Source organism: Homo sapiens, chromosome X, assembly GCF_000001405.40.
Source record: "Homo sapiens chromosome X, GRCh38.p14 Primary Assembly".
In the NCBI taxonomy this organism is placed as follows: Eukaryota; Metazoa; Chordata; class Mammalia; order Primates; family Hominidae; genus Homo; species Homo sapiens.
Window position 1 is genome coordinate 23,924,006 of NC_000023.11, and position 16,329 is coordinate 23,940,334.

At 40.8% G+C, this 16,329-nt stretch overlaps 1 protein-coding gene across 4 annotated transcripts in view; it reads left to right on the forward strand.

Annotated features, from left to right (window-relative positions):
• CXorf58 (chromosome X open reading frame 58) overlaps positions 1-15,504 on the forward strand; it is a 31,578-nt gene extending 16,074 nt beyond the window's left edge. For 3 of the 4 annotated variants that reach the window (XM_011545473.3, NM_152761.3, XM_011545474.3), the window contains 4 exons: positions 3,234-3,365; positions 11,191-11,420; positions 14,542-14,695; positions 15,239-15,504. In XM_011545473.3, the coding sequence (XP_011543775.1) occupies positions 3,234-3,365; positions 11,191-11,420; positions 14,542-14,695; positions 15,239-15,298 (576 nt within the window). In that variant the 3' untranslated portion in view covers positions 15,299-15,504. The remainder of the gene's footprint in view (positions 1-3,233; positions 3,366-11,190; positions 11,421-14,541; positions 14,696-15,238) is intronic. The other variant, NM_001169574.2, reaches the window with a different exon arrangement.

The window sequence follows — 16,329 nt, forward strand, 5'->3', positions numbered from 1 at the left end:
CCGTCTGCCGAAATGGCACCTCTGCACTCCAGCCTGGGTGACAGAGCAAGACTCCGTCTCAAAAAATAAAAATAAAAATTTTAAAAACCCTTTTTTAGTAACTTCAGCTAAAGTAAATTATAGTTATGCCTACAGAAATTCCTAAAGCAGAAATTATATGGTCTTCATACCTGTTCAGTGTACAATTACTTGTTTTTACCTTTAGTGTCACTGTGGGGCTGGTTAATTAGAACCATAAAATGTTGGAAATTAATTGCAAGAAAACATAATGGAGAGATTTGCCAATACTATCTTTATTTTATTTATTTATTTATTTATTTATTTATTTATTTATGAGGTGGAGTCTCACTCTGTCGCCCAGGCTGGAGTGCAGTGGCACAATCTCGGCTCAGTGCAACCTCCACCTCCTGGGTTCAAGCGATTCTCCTGCCTCAGCCTCCCAAGTAGCTGGGATTACAGGTGCTCACCACCCTGCCTAGCTAATTTTTGTGTTTTTTAGTAGAGACGGGGTTTCACCATGTTGGCCAGGCTGGAATCGAACCCCTGACCTCAGGTGATCCACCTGCTTTGGCCTCCCAGAGTGCTGGGATTACAGGTGTGAGCTACTACACCCGGCCTATCTTTTCTTTAGTTGTGTAATGTATAAAGAAATTTGTTGTGGGGATGAGGGAGGGGGGAGGGATAGCATTAGGAGATATACCTAATGTTAAATGACGAGTTGATGGGTGCAGCACACCAACATGGCACATGTATACATATGTAACTAACCTGCACATTATGCACATGTACCCTAAAACTTAAAGTGTAATAATAAAAAAAGGGAAATATTTATGGTTATGGAAATGCTTGCCCTGATAAAAATCCTACATATTGTTTTTTTAAATTCACATTTTATGCTTATACAATCTCTAGAGCTCTTACTATGTTGCTATAAGACAGTAATATAGTGATAATTTACCAACTTTATTGAAAATGTTGTTACATCAATAAAATAGCATGCTGGAAAAAAAAGAAGAAATTAATGAAATATAAAGCAAAAATGATCTACCTAAAGGAAAGCTCCATATCACATTTTCACTAAACTGTTTGTCTCTTCAGTTCTATACGTTAGGAATAAAACTTCAACCATTCAACCATTTGAATGTTTTCTTCCTTTTTCATTTTCTACATGTGTCTGTGATATTCTAAGCTTTGGAATTTAAAAAAATAAATAAAGGAATAGTCTGAATAACAAAAGTGAGAATTGGAATAGAAAATGCATTATAGCTTGCTGTTGTGTGTTAAGAAAAAAGAACAGTGATTCTCAGTTTTGATCCTGTCTCAACCACTCTTTCTTTTCTCTTTTTTTTTTTTTTTTTTTGAGACAGCATCTCACTCTGTCACCCAGACTGGAGTGCAGTGGCATGATCTCAGCTCACTGCAACCTCCACCTCTCAGGTTCAAGCATTTCTCCTGCCTCAGCCTCCCGAGTAGCTGGGTTTACAGGCACATGCCACCATGCTAGGCAAATTTTTGTATTTTTAGTAGAAAAAGGGTTTTGCCATGTTTGCCAGGCTGATCTCGAACTCCTGACCTCAGGCGATCCGCCTGCCTCGGCCTTCCAAAGTGCTGAGATTACAGGTGTGAACCACCGTGCCTGGCCTCAACCACTCTTTTAGGCCTTGTATCAACATTATAACAGAGTTCCCATACTTTCACAAATACCGCATTCTGACATACAAAGGAAGAAAGAAACTTAACTGGAATCAAAAGATGTTTGAATTTTCTTTTCTTTTCTTTTCTTTTTTTTTTTTTTTTTTTTGAGACAGAGTCTTGCTGTGTCCCCTAGGCTGGAGTACAGTGGCATGATCTCGGCTCACTGCAACCTCCGCCTCCTGGGTTCAAGCGATTCTCCTGCCTCAGCCTCCCGAGCAGCTGACATTACAGGCACCTGCCACCACGCCTGGCTAATTTTTGTATTTTTAGTAGAGACGGGGTTTCACCATGTTGGCCAGGCTGGTCTCGAACTCCTGACCTCAGGTGATCCACCTGCATCGGCCTCCCAAAGTGCTGGAATTACAGGAGTGAGCCACCACGCCCGCCCTGAATTTTCTTTTGTGCTATCCTTCCCTTCATATAAACATACCCTTTGTGGCCAGAAGTACAGATCTGTAATATAAATATGTGTTAGAAGAGTCAGCACATACTTATGGCGGGGGTGCAGAGTACTTAAGTCTCTACTCACAGTCTATGTATAGCTCTTAGCACAGGATACTTATATGTGGAAGGGTATGGTATAAGTAGGGCCCAACAGGATTTGAGCTTCCATATATTCTGTGATTCTTCTGTCTCTGACCTCTCAGGTGCTTTCCTTGAGCATAAAATGTTGACATTTGGGAGAGAAAAGAAAACCCCTCTATTTGCCACTTTTTAGCTGCTGAGAATGAAGTCTGAAGGGAGGGAGGCTTAAACAGTCTGAAACATACATGTTTCCACTTACCAGCAGTGTATTAACACATAAAAGAGAGGTGGTACTAGTGACACCTTTCATTGCAGTTCCTACGGTAACTCGTTGAATCACCAGATAAGTTTTCTCTGCATTGACTGCACGAATGATATTACAGGTTTGTTTTGCTTTTCAAAATAAAAGAATTAAAAGTCTTTTAAGGGGAAAAACCAGTTGTTTTAAAACTATGTTCTCTGAGGATTCTGGACTCAGCAATTCCTCTAGCTGCATTTAAAAACTATGTAGATGGCCTGGCGCGGTGGCTCACGCCTATAATCCCGCACTTTGGGAGGCCGAGGTGAGCGGATCACGAGGCCAGGAGATCGAGACCATCCTGGCTAACACGGCGAAAGCTGGTCTCTACTAAAAATACAAAAAATTAGCCAGGTGTGGTGGCATGCGCCTGTAGTCCCAGCTACTCAGGAGGCTGAGGCAGGAGAATCGCTTGAACCCAGGAGGTGGAGGTTGCAGTGAGCTGAGATGGCGCCACTGTTCTCCAGCCTAGGTGACAGAGCAAGACTCCGTTTCAAAAAAAAAAACCTATGTAGATAAGGCTATGGAAACAATTTTAAGTGGTTTAATAATCCCTATATAATCTCTTTGCAAATGCAGCCTTTCTATTGAATAGCAAGCTGCTAGAAGAAAGGAACAATATTTGATGTATTTGTCAGAAGAAATATGTAAAGGGCGTGCTGATCATTAATGCTATTCTACTATTTTTAAAGTCTATTTTCTATTCTTTTTACAGGCAGTGGATGATGCTTGCAAACTAATGGGGGAAAGGAAATTTCACCGTATAATTATGGAAGATGAACGTATTTTCCCGAAGTCCAAAGTAACTGATATAATGGATGTTGTCACCATGCAAGATTATGTACAAGTAAGGAATTTAGATTTAGAAAAACAAACAAACCCAGCAAGTCTTCCTAACTCTGTCATCCAAGAAGATAGAATCATACTTTTTTATTATGGTAAAATATAACACAATATAAAATTTATTATTGTATTATATTTTATTTTATTTTTCAAATATATTCTATAGAATGAAACTTATTTTCGGATGCCCAAGCACTAGAACTTTCTTTTAAAATTTTTTTTTAATTTAACTTTTATTTTAAGTTCAGGGGTACATGTAGAGGTTTGTTATTGTATATAGGTAAACTCGTGTCAAGGGGGTTTGTTGTTCAGATTATTTTGTCACCCAAGTATTAGGCCTAGTATCCATTAGTTATGTTTCCTGATCCTCTCCCTCCTCCCACCTTCCACCCTCTGGTAAGTCCCAGTGTGTGTTGTTCCCCTCTATGTGTCCATGTGTTCTCATCATAAAATTGACCATTTTAAAGTGTACAATTCAGGGGCATTAAGTACATTCACAGGGTTGTGCAAGCATCACCACCATCTAGTTCCAGAACCTTTTCATTACCCCGAAAGGAAACCCTGCATCCAGTAAGCAGTCACTCTCCATTCCTGCATCATTCCAGCCCCATAAACCACCAGTCTGCATTGTCTCTATGGATTTGCCTAATCCGGATATTTCATATAAAGGAAATCATGTGATATATGGCTTTTTATATGTAGGGAGCTAAGGAATTTGGGGGTTCTTTTGGGGTGATGGAAATATTCTGAAATATTCATAGGCAGTGGTGATAGTTGCACAACATTGTGAATATACTAAAAACCATTGAGTTACATACTTTTTTTTTTTTTGAGACAGAGTTTCGTTCTTGTCGCCCAGGCTGGAGTGCAATGGCGCAATCTCAGCTCACTGCAACCTCTGCCTCTTGGGTTCAAGCGATTCTCCTGCCTCAGCCTCCCGAGTAGCTGGGATTACAGGCATGTGCCACCACTCCCAGCTAATTTTTTTGTATTTTTAGTAGAGACGGGGTTTCACCATATTGGCCAGGCTGGTCTCAAACTCCTGACCTCAGGTGATCTGCCCGTCTCGGCCTCCCAAAGTACTGGGATTACAAGCGTGAGCCACCACGCCTGGCCGATGTTGTGTTTTCACAAATGGAAGGTTTGTGGCAAACCTGCATCAAGCAAATCTATCAGTGCCATTTTTCCAATAGCATGTGCTTGCTTTGTGTCTCTGTGTCACGTTTTGGTCATTCTTGCAATATTTCAAATCTTTTCATTATTATTATATCTGTTATGGTGAACTGTGATCAGTGATCTTTGATGTTACTATTGTAATTGTTTTGGAGCACCACAAACTGAGCCCATATAAGATGGCAAACTTAACCAATAAATGTATGTGTTCTGACTGCTCCACCAACCAGCCATTCCATTATCTCTCTCTTTCCCCTCTGGTCTCTCTATTTTCTGAGACACAACAATATTGAAATTAGGCCAATTAATAATCCTACAGTGGCTTCTAAGTGTTCGAGTGAAAGAGTCATGCGCCTCTCACTTTAAATCAAAAGCTAGAAATGACGAAGCTTAGTGAGGAAGTCATGTCAAAAGCTGAGATAGGCCAAAAGCTAGACCTTTGCACCAAAGAGTTAAACGTGTTGTGAATGCAAAGGAAAAATTTATGAAGGAAATTAAAAGTGCTACTCCAGCGAACACACAAATGATAAGAAAGCAAAATAGCCTCATTGCTGATATGGAGAAAGTGTTAGTGGTCTGGATAGAAAATTAAACCAGCCACTCACGCCTGTAATCCCAGCACTTTGGGAGGCCGAGGTGGGCGGATCACGAGGTCAGGAGATCGAGACCATCCTGGCTAACATGGTGAAACCCCGTCTCTACTAAAAATACAAAAAATTAGCCGGGCATGGTGGCGGGCACCTATAGTCCCAGCTACTAGGGAGGCTGAGGCGGGAGAATGGCGTGAACCCAGGAGGCGGAGCTTGCAGTGAGCCGAAATTGCGCCACTGCACTCCAGTCTGGGCAATAGAGTGAGACTGTGTCTCAAAAAAAAAAAAAAAAAGAAAAAGAAAAAAAAAGAAAAACCAGCCACAATATTCCCTTAAACCAAAGCCTAATCCAGAGCAAGGCCTTAACTCTCTTCAATTCTATGAAGGATCAGAGAGGTGAGAAAGCTGCAGAAGAAACTTTGGAAGCTAGCAGAGGTTGGTTCGTGAAGTTTAGGGAAAGAAGCCGTCTTTATAACATAAAAGTGCAAGGTGAAGCAGCAAGTGCTGATGGAGAAGCTGCAGCAAGTTATCCAGAAGATCTCACTAAGATAATTGTTGAAGGTGGCTGCACTAAACAACAGATTTTCAATGTAGACAAAATGGCCTTATACTGTTAGAAGATGCCCTCTAGGGCTTTCACAGCTAGAGAGGAGAAGTCAATGCCTGGCTTCAAAGGACAGGCTGAGTCTCTTGTTAGGGGCTAATGCAGCTGGTAACTTTAACTTAAAGCCAGTTCTCATTTACCATTCTGAAAATTTTAGGGCCCTTAAAAATTATGCTAAATCTATCCGGGCGGAGTGGCTCAGGCCTGTAATCCCAGCACTTTGGGAGACCAAGGCAGGTGGATCACAAGGTCAGGAGATCGAGACCATCCTGGCTAACACCGTGAAACCCCGTCTCTACTAAAAAATACAAAAATTAGCCGGGCGTGGTGGTGGGCGCCTGTAGTCCCAGCTACTTGGGAGGCTGAGCCAGGAGAATGGCGTGAACCCAGGAGGCGGAGCTTGCAGTGAGCCGAGATTGCACCACTGCACTCCAGCCTGGGTGACAGGGCAAGACTCTGTCTCAAAAAAAAAAAAAAAAAAAAAGAAAAAAGAAATATGTTTCATAAGGCTATAGCTGCCATAGACAATGATTCCCCTGATGGATCTGGGTAAAGTAAAATTTAAAAATCCAGAAACGATTCACCATTCTAGATGCTATTGAGAACATTCATGAGCTGGGCACAGTGGCTCATGGCTGTAATCCCAGTACTTTGGGAGGCTGAGATTGGAGGATCTCTTGAAGATGGAGTTTGAGACCAGCCTGGGCAATATAGGGAGACCCTGTCTCTACAAAAATTACCCCCCACCCCAAAATTAGCCAGGTGTGATGGTATGCCCCTATGGTCCCAGCTACTCAGGAGACTGAGGTGGGAGGATTGCTTTAGCCATGATTGCACTCCAGCCTGGGCAACAGAGTGAGACCCTGTCTCAAAAAAAAAAAAAAAAGCCACAGCCACCCCAGTCTTCAGCAACCAGTACCCTGATCAGTCAGCAGTCATCCACATCAAGGTAAGACTCTCTACCAGCAAAAAGAATAGGACTCACTGAAGGCTCAGATGATCATTAGCATTTTTTAGCAATAAAGTATTTTTTTTCTTTTTGTGGAGATGGGATCTTGCTATGTTTCCTAGGCTGGTCTCGAACTTCTGGGCACAAGTGATCCTGTCAGCTCTTCCTCCGTAAGTTCTGGCATTGCAGGCATGAGCCATTATGCCCAGCCATAACAAAGTATTTTTAAATTAAAGTATGTACATTTTTTTTTAAATAATGCTGTTGCACACTTAAACTACAGTATAATGTAAACATAACTTTTATATGCACTGGGAAACCAAAAATTAGCATGACTCTATTTGTGATATCCACTTTATTACCATGGTCTGCAACTAGACCCACAATATCTCTGAGATATGTCTGTATACAGCCTTAACTATTCACTCATTTGCTTCAGTGTGAAACATGAAATTAATGCAGTGCCTTAGAGACTCCCAATTATGTTTTCTTTCTTTTAGAGTCTTAGACTGTGAGTTTAGGGAAGTGAACCAGGAAATGCCAACTATCTTTGCTAAGGACAAAGACCACATACTTTCAGATTGTGAACATGTCAAGGATTAATGTCATAGAGAGGAGTCCCCAGATAGACATACTGGAAGAGAGAGATAAGATCATTGTTGACGTTTGAGTCCTTATACGGGTGTGGCACTGTCTTTAGCACTTTACATGTGTGTTATCTTCTTTCATCTTCAAGTTTGTAAATTCTGTGACCTTTTTTACAAATGAGAAAAATGAAGTTTAACAAGCCTCAAAAAAACTTGCCTGAGGTCACAGACAGATCTGATAAGTGGCAGAGCAGATGATTGACAGATCTATGATATTTACCCATTTTACTACTTCACTCAGGAAAAAAAATACCCAGCCTTACTTTGCATGGCAGTGCAGGACCATAAAAATGACCAGCAAATTGAAACCATGCAAAGCAAACTTAATAATTTGTGGGGAAAATTGTGATTGTCCTGTGACTTTTCAAACTTTTTGTCTGTAGTCCCAGCTACTTGGGAGGCTGAGGCAAGAGGATCACTTAAGCCCAGGAGTTTGAGGGTAGCCCAGGCAACATAGTGAGACCCCATCTCTGAAAACAAAACAAAACAAGCTTCTTTGTCAAAACATTAAAAACTCTTTTGCTGTCTGTTATAAATACATAGGAAAATGAAAGAAAAAAACCCAACACATTTAGAACACTTTTAGTACACTATAATTTAAAACATTAGAAACATAGACAAAGTGTTTAGTTTCTTCATAAAATATCTTACCAACTGTGAATATACTGGAAACTATTGAATTGTACACTTTAAATGGTGAATTGTATGGTATGTGAACCTCAATAAAGCTGTGAAAAAATAACTTACCAAGAGTACTTTAAACAGTGCTTGCCTTCTTGTTCTTCTAGTATAACTTATAAGCATCTTTTCTATGTCTTGATGTATTGTCATATTCCTTTTAAAATTTGGATCAGCTGCCAACATTTTATTCTTTGCACTTTAAATGTTGCAAAATATCTCAGAGTTCCTTCAGTATGAAGTTTTTTTTGGCCAGCATCACTTCCACTGGGAAAGCTTCATCTTTTTATCATAGCCACTTTCCTCATTTATGTTGATAAGTTCATCCTCACCAAGTTCCTCTAGCTGTAGATCTGCAACGTCTTGAATGATGGCAGTGTTAGCATTCCCACAGTCACCTGTTTCTTCTAGAACTCCATGTATGATTGATTCCAATTTCACTTCAAGGGGTACCACTTTTTGTTTCTTTGACGGGGAATTCCCTCTTTTGATTTTCCATTTTTGTAAAATGTCACATGGGTTTATCATTGGGAGACAAAAATGCAACACAACTATATACGTTGCTGTTTGTGTGTGAAATGAATAACAGATTCACAGTGACCAGTCACTGATTGACTTTGGAAGGTATGACATGATTTGTCACTAATCATGATGATCATCTGTCATTTATATTGTGATCTTTGAGCTGAAGAGCTAGCAACAGGAGGCCGGGCGTGGTGGCTCATGCCTGTAATCCCAGCACTTTGGGAGGCCAAGGTGGGTGGATCACTTGAGGTCAGGAGTTCGAGACCAGCCTGGCCAACATGATGAAACCCTGTCTCTACTAAAAATACAAAAATTAGCCGGGCCTGGTGGCACACGCCTATAATCCCAGCTACTTGGGAGGCTGAGGCAGGAGAATCGCTTGAACCCAGGAGGTGGAGGTTGCAGTGAGCCGAGATTGCGCCGCTGCACTCCAGCCTGGGCGATAAAGCAAGACTCCATCTCAAAAAAAAAAGTTTGAAAAGGCCGGGTGCAGTGGCTCATGTCTGTAATCCTAACACTTGGTGAGGCAGAGGCCGGAGGATTGCTTGAGCCCAGGAGTTTGAGACCTGCCTGGGCAACACAGCGAGACCCCATTCTCCAGAAAAGGAAAAAAAAAAAGATGAAATGGTGCAAAGGTAGGATTGCCTGTGTGTGTGTATGTGTGTGAGTGTGTATGTGTATATGTGAGTGTGAAGGTGTGTGTTGAGAGTGTGTATGTGCATCTGTGTGTGTGTGTTTGAAAGCATGAATGTGACTGTGTAATATACCCTAAAGGCCTTCTTGTTATTCTGTTTCCTAGCACTGTAGCTCCTCCTGCCCTATCCCTGGCTCTTAAATGCACGACTATAATGTTAAAGTGATGATATATATTTGTATTTTTAATTCCTAATTTGATATCATTTTAAATTGGAAAAAAAGAAAAGTGGGATTTCTACAAATACTCCAAAGGAAAATAGTGAAAATCTCCACTTCATACTAGAGATGAACTCATATTTCTAAAAAGGTTTGTGCAAAAGTCCTCTCAACAGCCTGGGCAACATAGTGAGACCCTATCTCTACAAAGATTAAAAAATTGGCCAGGCGTGATGGCTCACGCCTGTAATCTCAGCACTTTGGGAGGCCGAGGTAAGTGGATTACCTGAGGTCAGGAGTTCAAGACCAGCTTGGCCAACATGGTGAAACCCCATCTCTACTAAAAATACAAAAAAAATTAACCAGGCATGGTGGCATGCACCTGTAATCCCAGCTGAGGCAGGAGAATCGCTTGAACCCAGGAGGCGGAGGTTGCAGTGAGCCGAGATCGTGTCACTGAACTGCAGCCTGGGCAACAGGAGTGAAACTCCGTCCCCCCCAAAAAAAAAAAAAATAGCCAGACGTGGTGGCATGTACCTGTAGTCCCAGCTACTCAGGAGGATCACTGGAGCCCAGGAGGTTGAGGCCGCTAGCCATGATCATGTCACTGCCCTCCAGCCTGGGTGACAGGATGAGACCCTGTCTCAAAAAAAAAAAAGTCCTCTCAACCCAAGCATGTCATGAACAAGCTCTACTAGGTATGCAGAACACATAGCTATTATCATTAATTTTTAGGCCCATCTGAGTTTAACTTATCTGAGTTATATTTGCCATAAAAATGTTGATGCATTAAATAAATATTTAGTGAGTATGATACTGTGTGCATGATAATGTGTAGCATAGCTCCTGCCTTCCAATAAGGGAGCTAAGTCATACACAGATAACTAAAACATTGAGTAGTCAGAGAGAGATCCCAATAAAATTCAGAGATGGGATCAAAGAATGCCTTTTGGATGAAGTGACATTTGAGTGGAACCATGAGAAATGTGTCTAAAAACATTTTAGAGCACCCACAACCAATCAATTTTTTTTTTGAGACAGAGTCCCACTCTGTTGCCCCGGCTGGAGTGCAGTGGTGCAGTCTTGGCTCACTGCAACTGCTGCCTCTTGGGCTCAGGTGATCCTCCTGCCTCAGCCTCCCAAGTAGCTGGGACTACAGGTGTGCGCCACCACGCCCAGCTAATTTTTGTATTTTTTTATTATTATACTTTAAGTTCTAGGGTACATGTGCACAACGTGCAGGTTTGTTACATATGTATACATGTGCCGTGTTGGTGTGCTGCACCCATTAACTCGTCATTTACATTAGGTATGTCTCCTAATGCTATCAGGTTTCACCATGTTGGCCAGGCTGGTCTCGAACTCCCGACCTCAAGTGACCCACCTGCCTCAGGCTCCCAAAGTGCTGGGCTTACAGGTGTGAGCCACCGCACCTGGCCAACTAATCAGTCTTAATTGTTTTTTTTCTCTTTTTCTTTTCTTTTCTTTTTTTTTCTCTTTGAGATGGAGTCACTCTGTCACCCAGGCTGGAGTGCAGTGGCGCGATCTTGGCTCACCGCAACCTCCGCCTCCCGAGTTCAAGCAATTCTCCTGCCTGAGCCTCCCGAGTAGCTGGAACCACAGGCACAAGCCACCACGCCTGGCTAATTTTTGTATTTTTAGTAGAGATGGGTTTTCACCATGTTGGCCAGGCTGGTCTACGAACTCCTGACCTCAGGTGATCCACCCGCATCAGCCTCCCAAAGTTCTGGGATTATAGGTATGAGCCACCGCACCTGGCCAACTTAATCGTTCTTGTTTTTTCCCTACAGTATCGCAGTTTTTTCGATGAGGCCCCTGCATTTTCTGGCGGCAGAAATAACAGCTGGCGCAAATTAAATCTTGAAAATATTCCCAGGACAATGCTAATGTATGACATAGTTCATTATTCAGAGTCTGGAGTGATCTCAAACCGTCTACGAAATGAAATGAAGTTTCTGTTACAGAGACCAGTAACGCAAGAGATCCATAAGCACCAGCTACGGATTGTTTCTGAAATTAGGTAAAACAGATTCTTCACTGGGGTTACAATACTAGGGGCATATCTGAAAATGTTCACATTCTGCCAGATAGCTCACTAAAGATAAGAGGATATATGGGGAAAATAGGGTTGGGGCAGATTGCTCAAAACGTATGCAATTTTGTAAACAGAGCACTAACAAAAAGGACAATTGGTACTTGGGGAGTTAACTTGTACCACCAGACAGGCAGCTCAGTGTAGCTGGAGGCTGCCACAGAAAATATAAAAAAATGAACAACCATAGAGTGGAGATGCTGGCAACTCTTTCATTAGAGCAGTTAGTGGGCATGGAGACAGTGCACATGGAAGTGGGACCCCAGGCCAGCGTAGTTGCCTTTTTTTTTTTTGAGACGGAGTCTCACTCTGTTGCCCAGGCTGGAGTGCAATGGCGCAATCTAGGCTCACTGCAACCTCTGCCTCCCGGGTTCAAGCGATTCTCCTGCCTCAGCCTCCTGAGTAGCTGGGATTACAGGTGCCCACCACCATGCCCGGCTAATTTTTGTATTTTTAGTAGAGAATGAGTTTCACCATATTGGCCAGGCTGGTCTCAAACTCCTGACCTTGTGATCCGGCCACCTCAGCCTCCCAAAGTGCTGGGATTACAAGTGTGAGCCACCATGCCCGGCCGCATGGTTGCCTTTTAAGTGGACATGAGAGGCAGTGCGATCTGCCGAGAACCAGGAGCCATCCAAGGCTGGAGTGGGGGTAGGGGAGGAGTAGGGTGGAGGGCAGTGAGGGTGAGTTGGGGGTGGGGTGTGCCTCTCTGGGAAGACAGCACTTGATGCAGGTGCTCATTTTTGTTTTCATGAATACAGTCAAAAGGGCTCCCCTTGCCCATGCAGCACAGAACTGAGGGCTTTTTCCTTTTTTGCTGAAGGTTATAATTCTATTCTTGCTACTCTGGCTCCCCTTGCCTGAGATAAATTGCATATAAATTAGAGTGACGTCATTCCCCTTTTTACCAATAGTATGTGAGCCAGTTCACATTGTAGAAATGGATGTTGTAGCAAAATAGATGTATTATGATCTGAAACAACATGGACAGAATATAACAACTCCAATTATATTCCTTTTCTCTTTCCATTACTAAGCCTCACTTAGCCCATCTTATTTACAAATTAAGCTGCTTTCTTAAAAGAAGAAAGAGATAATAATATGTAAGAGGACCTACTGGTAATCTATTTTCACACTCTTATAATTGAAATGAAAAATACTCCCTTTGTACATGAAGAAGACACTGATGACCCACTGTCAAGCAAACATGCTGGGGATTTTTTTTCAGGAGTAGAGATGAGTGATTCTGACCCAATAACATAATTTAACCCATATATTTTATGATCAAGGCTATACATTTGCCAGACAGATGGCCTGGTTTAGGGCACAGTCTGTCATGAAATAGATTTTCTCTAACTCATCCATATGAGCACTGAATATAGAATTTAACCCTATTACCACCAAGGTCAAATAAATGATGTAATTTTCTCTGCCACCATATATAATCCTGATCTCCCTGCTATTTGGATTTATCCTACTGAGTATCCAAGAATAAGTAATTTAAGAGCCAAATAATTAGCCAAATTATTAATCAATTGAAGAGAAAAAATACTTTCATAAAGCCATCTTTGAATGCAGTTGTAGTTTAGCATCTCCCAGAAGCAAACCCTGAGACAGAGATTTAGGAGGTGATCCCAGGAACAACTGAAGGGAGAGGGTAAAAAAGTGGAAGGCAGCCAAAACAGTGTGTGTTAGCAAGCAAGTTACCACTGTGGGTAACTGGAGCTTAATCTCCCCCGGGAATGTCAGAGTCAATGTAGAACATGCAACTCAGAATTATCCCACAGGGGGCAGGGGAATTACAGTATTGATACATCAACACCCATCAGTCATTGGTTAAGGGTTGCTTAGGAAGGGACATATTAATTCTCGGGCACTTTTGACCTCCCCTGCACATGGGCTTGCTTTTCTTTTCTTTTTTTTCTTTTCTTTTTTTTTTTTTTTGAGACCGAGTTTCACTCTTGTCACCCAGGCTGGAGTACAATGGCACAATCTCGGCTCCCCACAACCTCCACCTTCCTGGTTCAAGCGATTCTCCTGCCTCAGCCTTCCTGAGTAGCTGGGATTACAGGCATGTGCCACCACGCCTGGCTAATTTTGTATTTTTAATAGAGACAGGGTTTCTCCATGCTGGTCAGGCTGGTCTCGAACTCCAGACCTCAGGTGATCCACCCGCCTTGGCCTCCCAAAGTGCTGGGATTACAGGTGTAAGCCACCGTGCTGGCAGGCTTTTCTTTTCAAAGAAAATTTTCAAACTGAGTGATGCAGATGCTGGCATTGAAAGTTGAGTCTATGTTCCTTATAATGGTAAGGACAAGGGGATTATGGACATAGCATCTGATCCCAGCACTGATTAAAAACAGCTTGTTTTTCCAACCATTATGAAATGTAATTTTTTTTTTTTTTGAGCTGGAGTCTCGCTCTGTTGCCCAGGCTGGAGTGCAGTGGCACAATCTTGGCTCACTGCAAAGTCCGCCTCCTGGGTTCAAGCAATTCTCCTGCCTCAGCCTCCCGAGTAGCTGGGATTACAGGCACCCGCCACCACACCCAGCTAATTTTTGTATTTTTTTTTAGTAGAGACGGTTTCACCATGTTGGCCAGGCTGGTCTGGAACTCCTGACCTCAGGTGATCCGCTTGCCTCGGCCTCCCAAAGTGCTGAGATTACGGGCATGAGCCACTGCGCCTGGACGAAATGTAATACTTTTTTGTGTTAGTATATGGTGTAAAAAAATAAGATTCAAATGGCTACTACACAGTATTTTCTAGGAAAGCTAATTTTAAATTGATAACAGGTTTTATAATTTTTATCATCTTTGCTGTCAATATCATCACCTGTACACCTTCATAAGTGCCAGATAAAGAACTGTGCTATGTAAACTCAAGCAGAAATGATAACTTTAACCTAAAAGCTTACATGAAATGCTGCTCCAATGTTGCTAAGGTCTGTGATATATTTGCTAGAGAAAGCTTTAATGAAATTTGGAACTTGCTTTGCATTTATATTTTATTCTGTGTGATTTTTCTGTTTTTAATACAAACATTTTCTAGGGGTCCATACTTAACTGTCCAACCTCTATATCGGCCCTACAAACAGCAAAATCAAGTTAAATTTCTGGGTCGTCGATCCAAGCAAGCTCAAATGAAAGTTGAAAAAATGAGAAAAGTTTATTTGGCTAAAGAAAAAAATACTTCTGAGGTGACTGTAAGTTTAACTTGTACTGAATTCATTGTTTTGGACAATATTCAAACTGTCTGTAAAGTAGCTGTACTTACGTAAATGAAATTTTCCTAATCTAAAGTTCAAGGCTGAAACACATTTGACACATTTATCATAGGTAGTATAAAGTGAATTTCATCTTGGTAACATTTTTTAAAAAATTCTTAATATTGGTGGCAATTCTGATAAAAACCAGCTGTTTTGGCTCCATATCAGCATGAGTTGGCAAAAAAATTATTTTCTCTGTATGTTGACACTGTTGATTCAGCACATCTCTGATGGTGGTTTTTTCAAAATGGAAGTCATTTCTATCTAAACTTATTAAGAACTATGCTTTATAAAGTCTGCCTCAGTATACTTTTACATCATAGGAATTTACAACAGACATGTATTCATGTTATTACTTTGTAATTTAAAAAATCGCTGTGAATATTTTGAGATGAGGATAAATATAGTCAAACATTAAAATATAAAGTAGTAAAAACCAAATATATAACACTTCCTACTTTTATTGATAATTCTGCCTAGGAACCAAAAACGGGCCCATCAGGTACAAAGGATAACTATCATCTCCACTCCATCTTTTGACATTGTGAAAACTAAGGAATCTATGTCAGAGTGTCAGCTGGAAAAAGAAAAAAGGACTCATTTTCCTGGTATCAAAACTTGGCAGCTGGTGATTCTCCATCATGATAATGAACAGTTAATTGACAGAAAACCAAAGTTGTTTAACAATCTGCTTGTCTGTCTATAAATAATGAGTATGTGTAATAAAGGAAAATAACATAGAATAAGTCCTGAGTATGCTCTCTTAACTAAATGTGTGACATATTTTAAGCCTTTTTGAATTGCCATAGGAACAAATTCTTTTACTGACAGAATTTTAATCTAAACAAATTTTTTCTATTAGATGCCCTTGAACTAGCAGTATACAGTTTTGTTTAAGAGATTAGTCCCTGGGACTTTTATTCGATTTTGATTTTCCTTCATTTAAACAAATATCTGAACAGGCCATACTTAGCATAAATATTAGAATTCACAGAATGAAAGGCTCCTTTTGAGTCAGCTTCTAGTGTCTTTTTTAAAGTTGAAATTCATTTTTACAGAACAGCTTGTGAATGACCTATTCTGAATGATAATAAAAGTAATAATGGATTTATTGCTACAGGAGGCATGACATGGCATAACTAATCACTATTGAGCATTGGAAGCACCTGAGACAGAATGTTGCGTCTGCTTTAATCTATTTTGGATATTTTTCAAGTATGAAGTCTATTTGGAGTAATATTTATCAATTTCATTTTCAATTGATAAATTGTCATTCCTAATATGGTATAAATTATTGATTTCTTTTGTGATCCAGGCTGTTGGATTATATCAAACTTTACACAGAGGCTATGATAATTAAACTGCAATAATTTATTGAACTTTAAAGATCCAATTTTTAATTTTACTTAACATTTAAAACGTGTAGGTTGATTGCTGATCTAATTCAGGCATGGCAACCTATAAAAGGATCTCATTCTCTGCTAAAATATTCTCTTACATGATGAAGAATATTGGAGTAAATGTGTATGATTCTCACTGGAATATATTTAACATAAATGTTCACTCTTTGA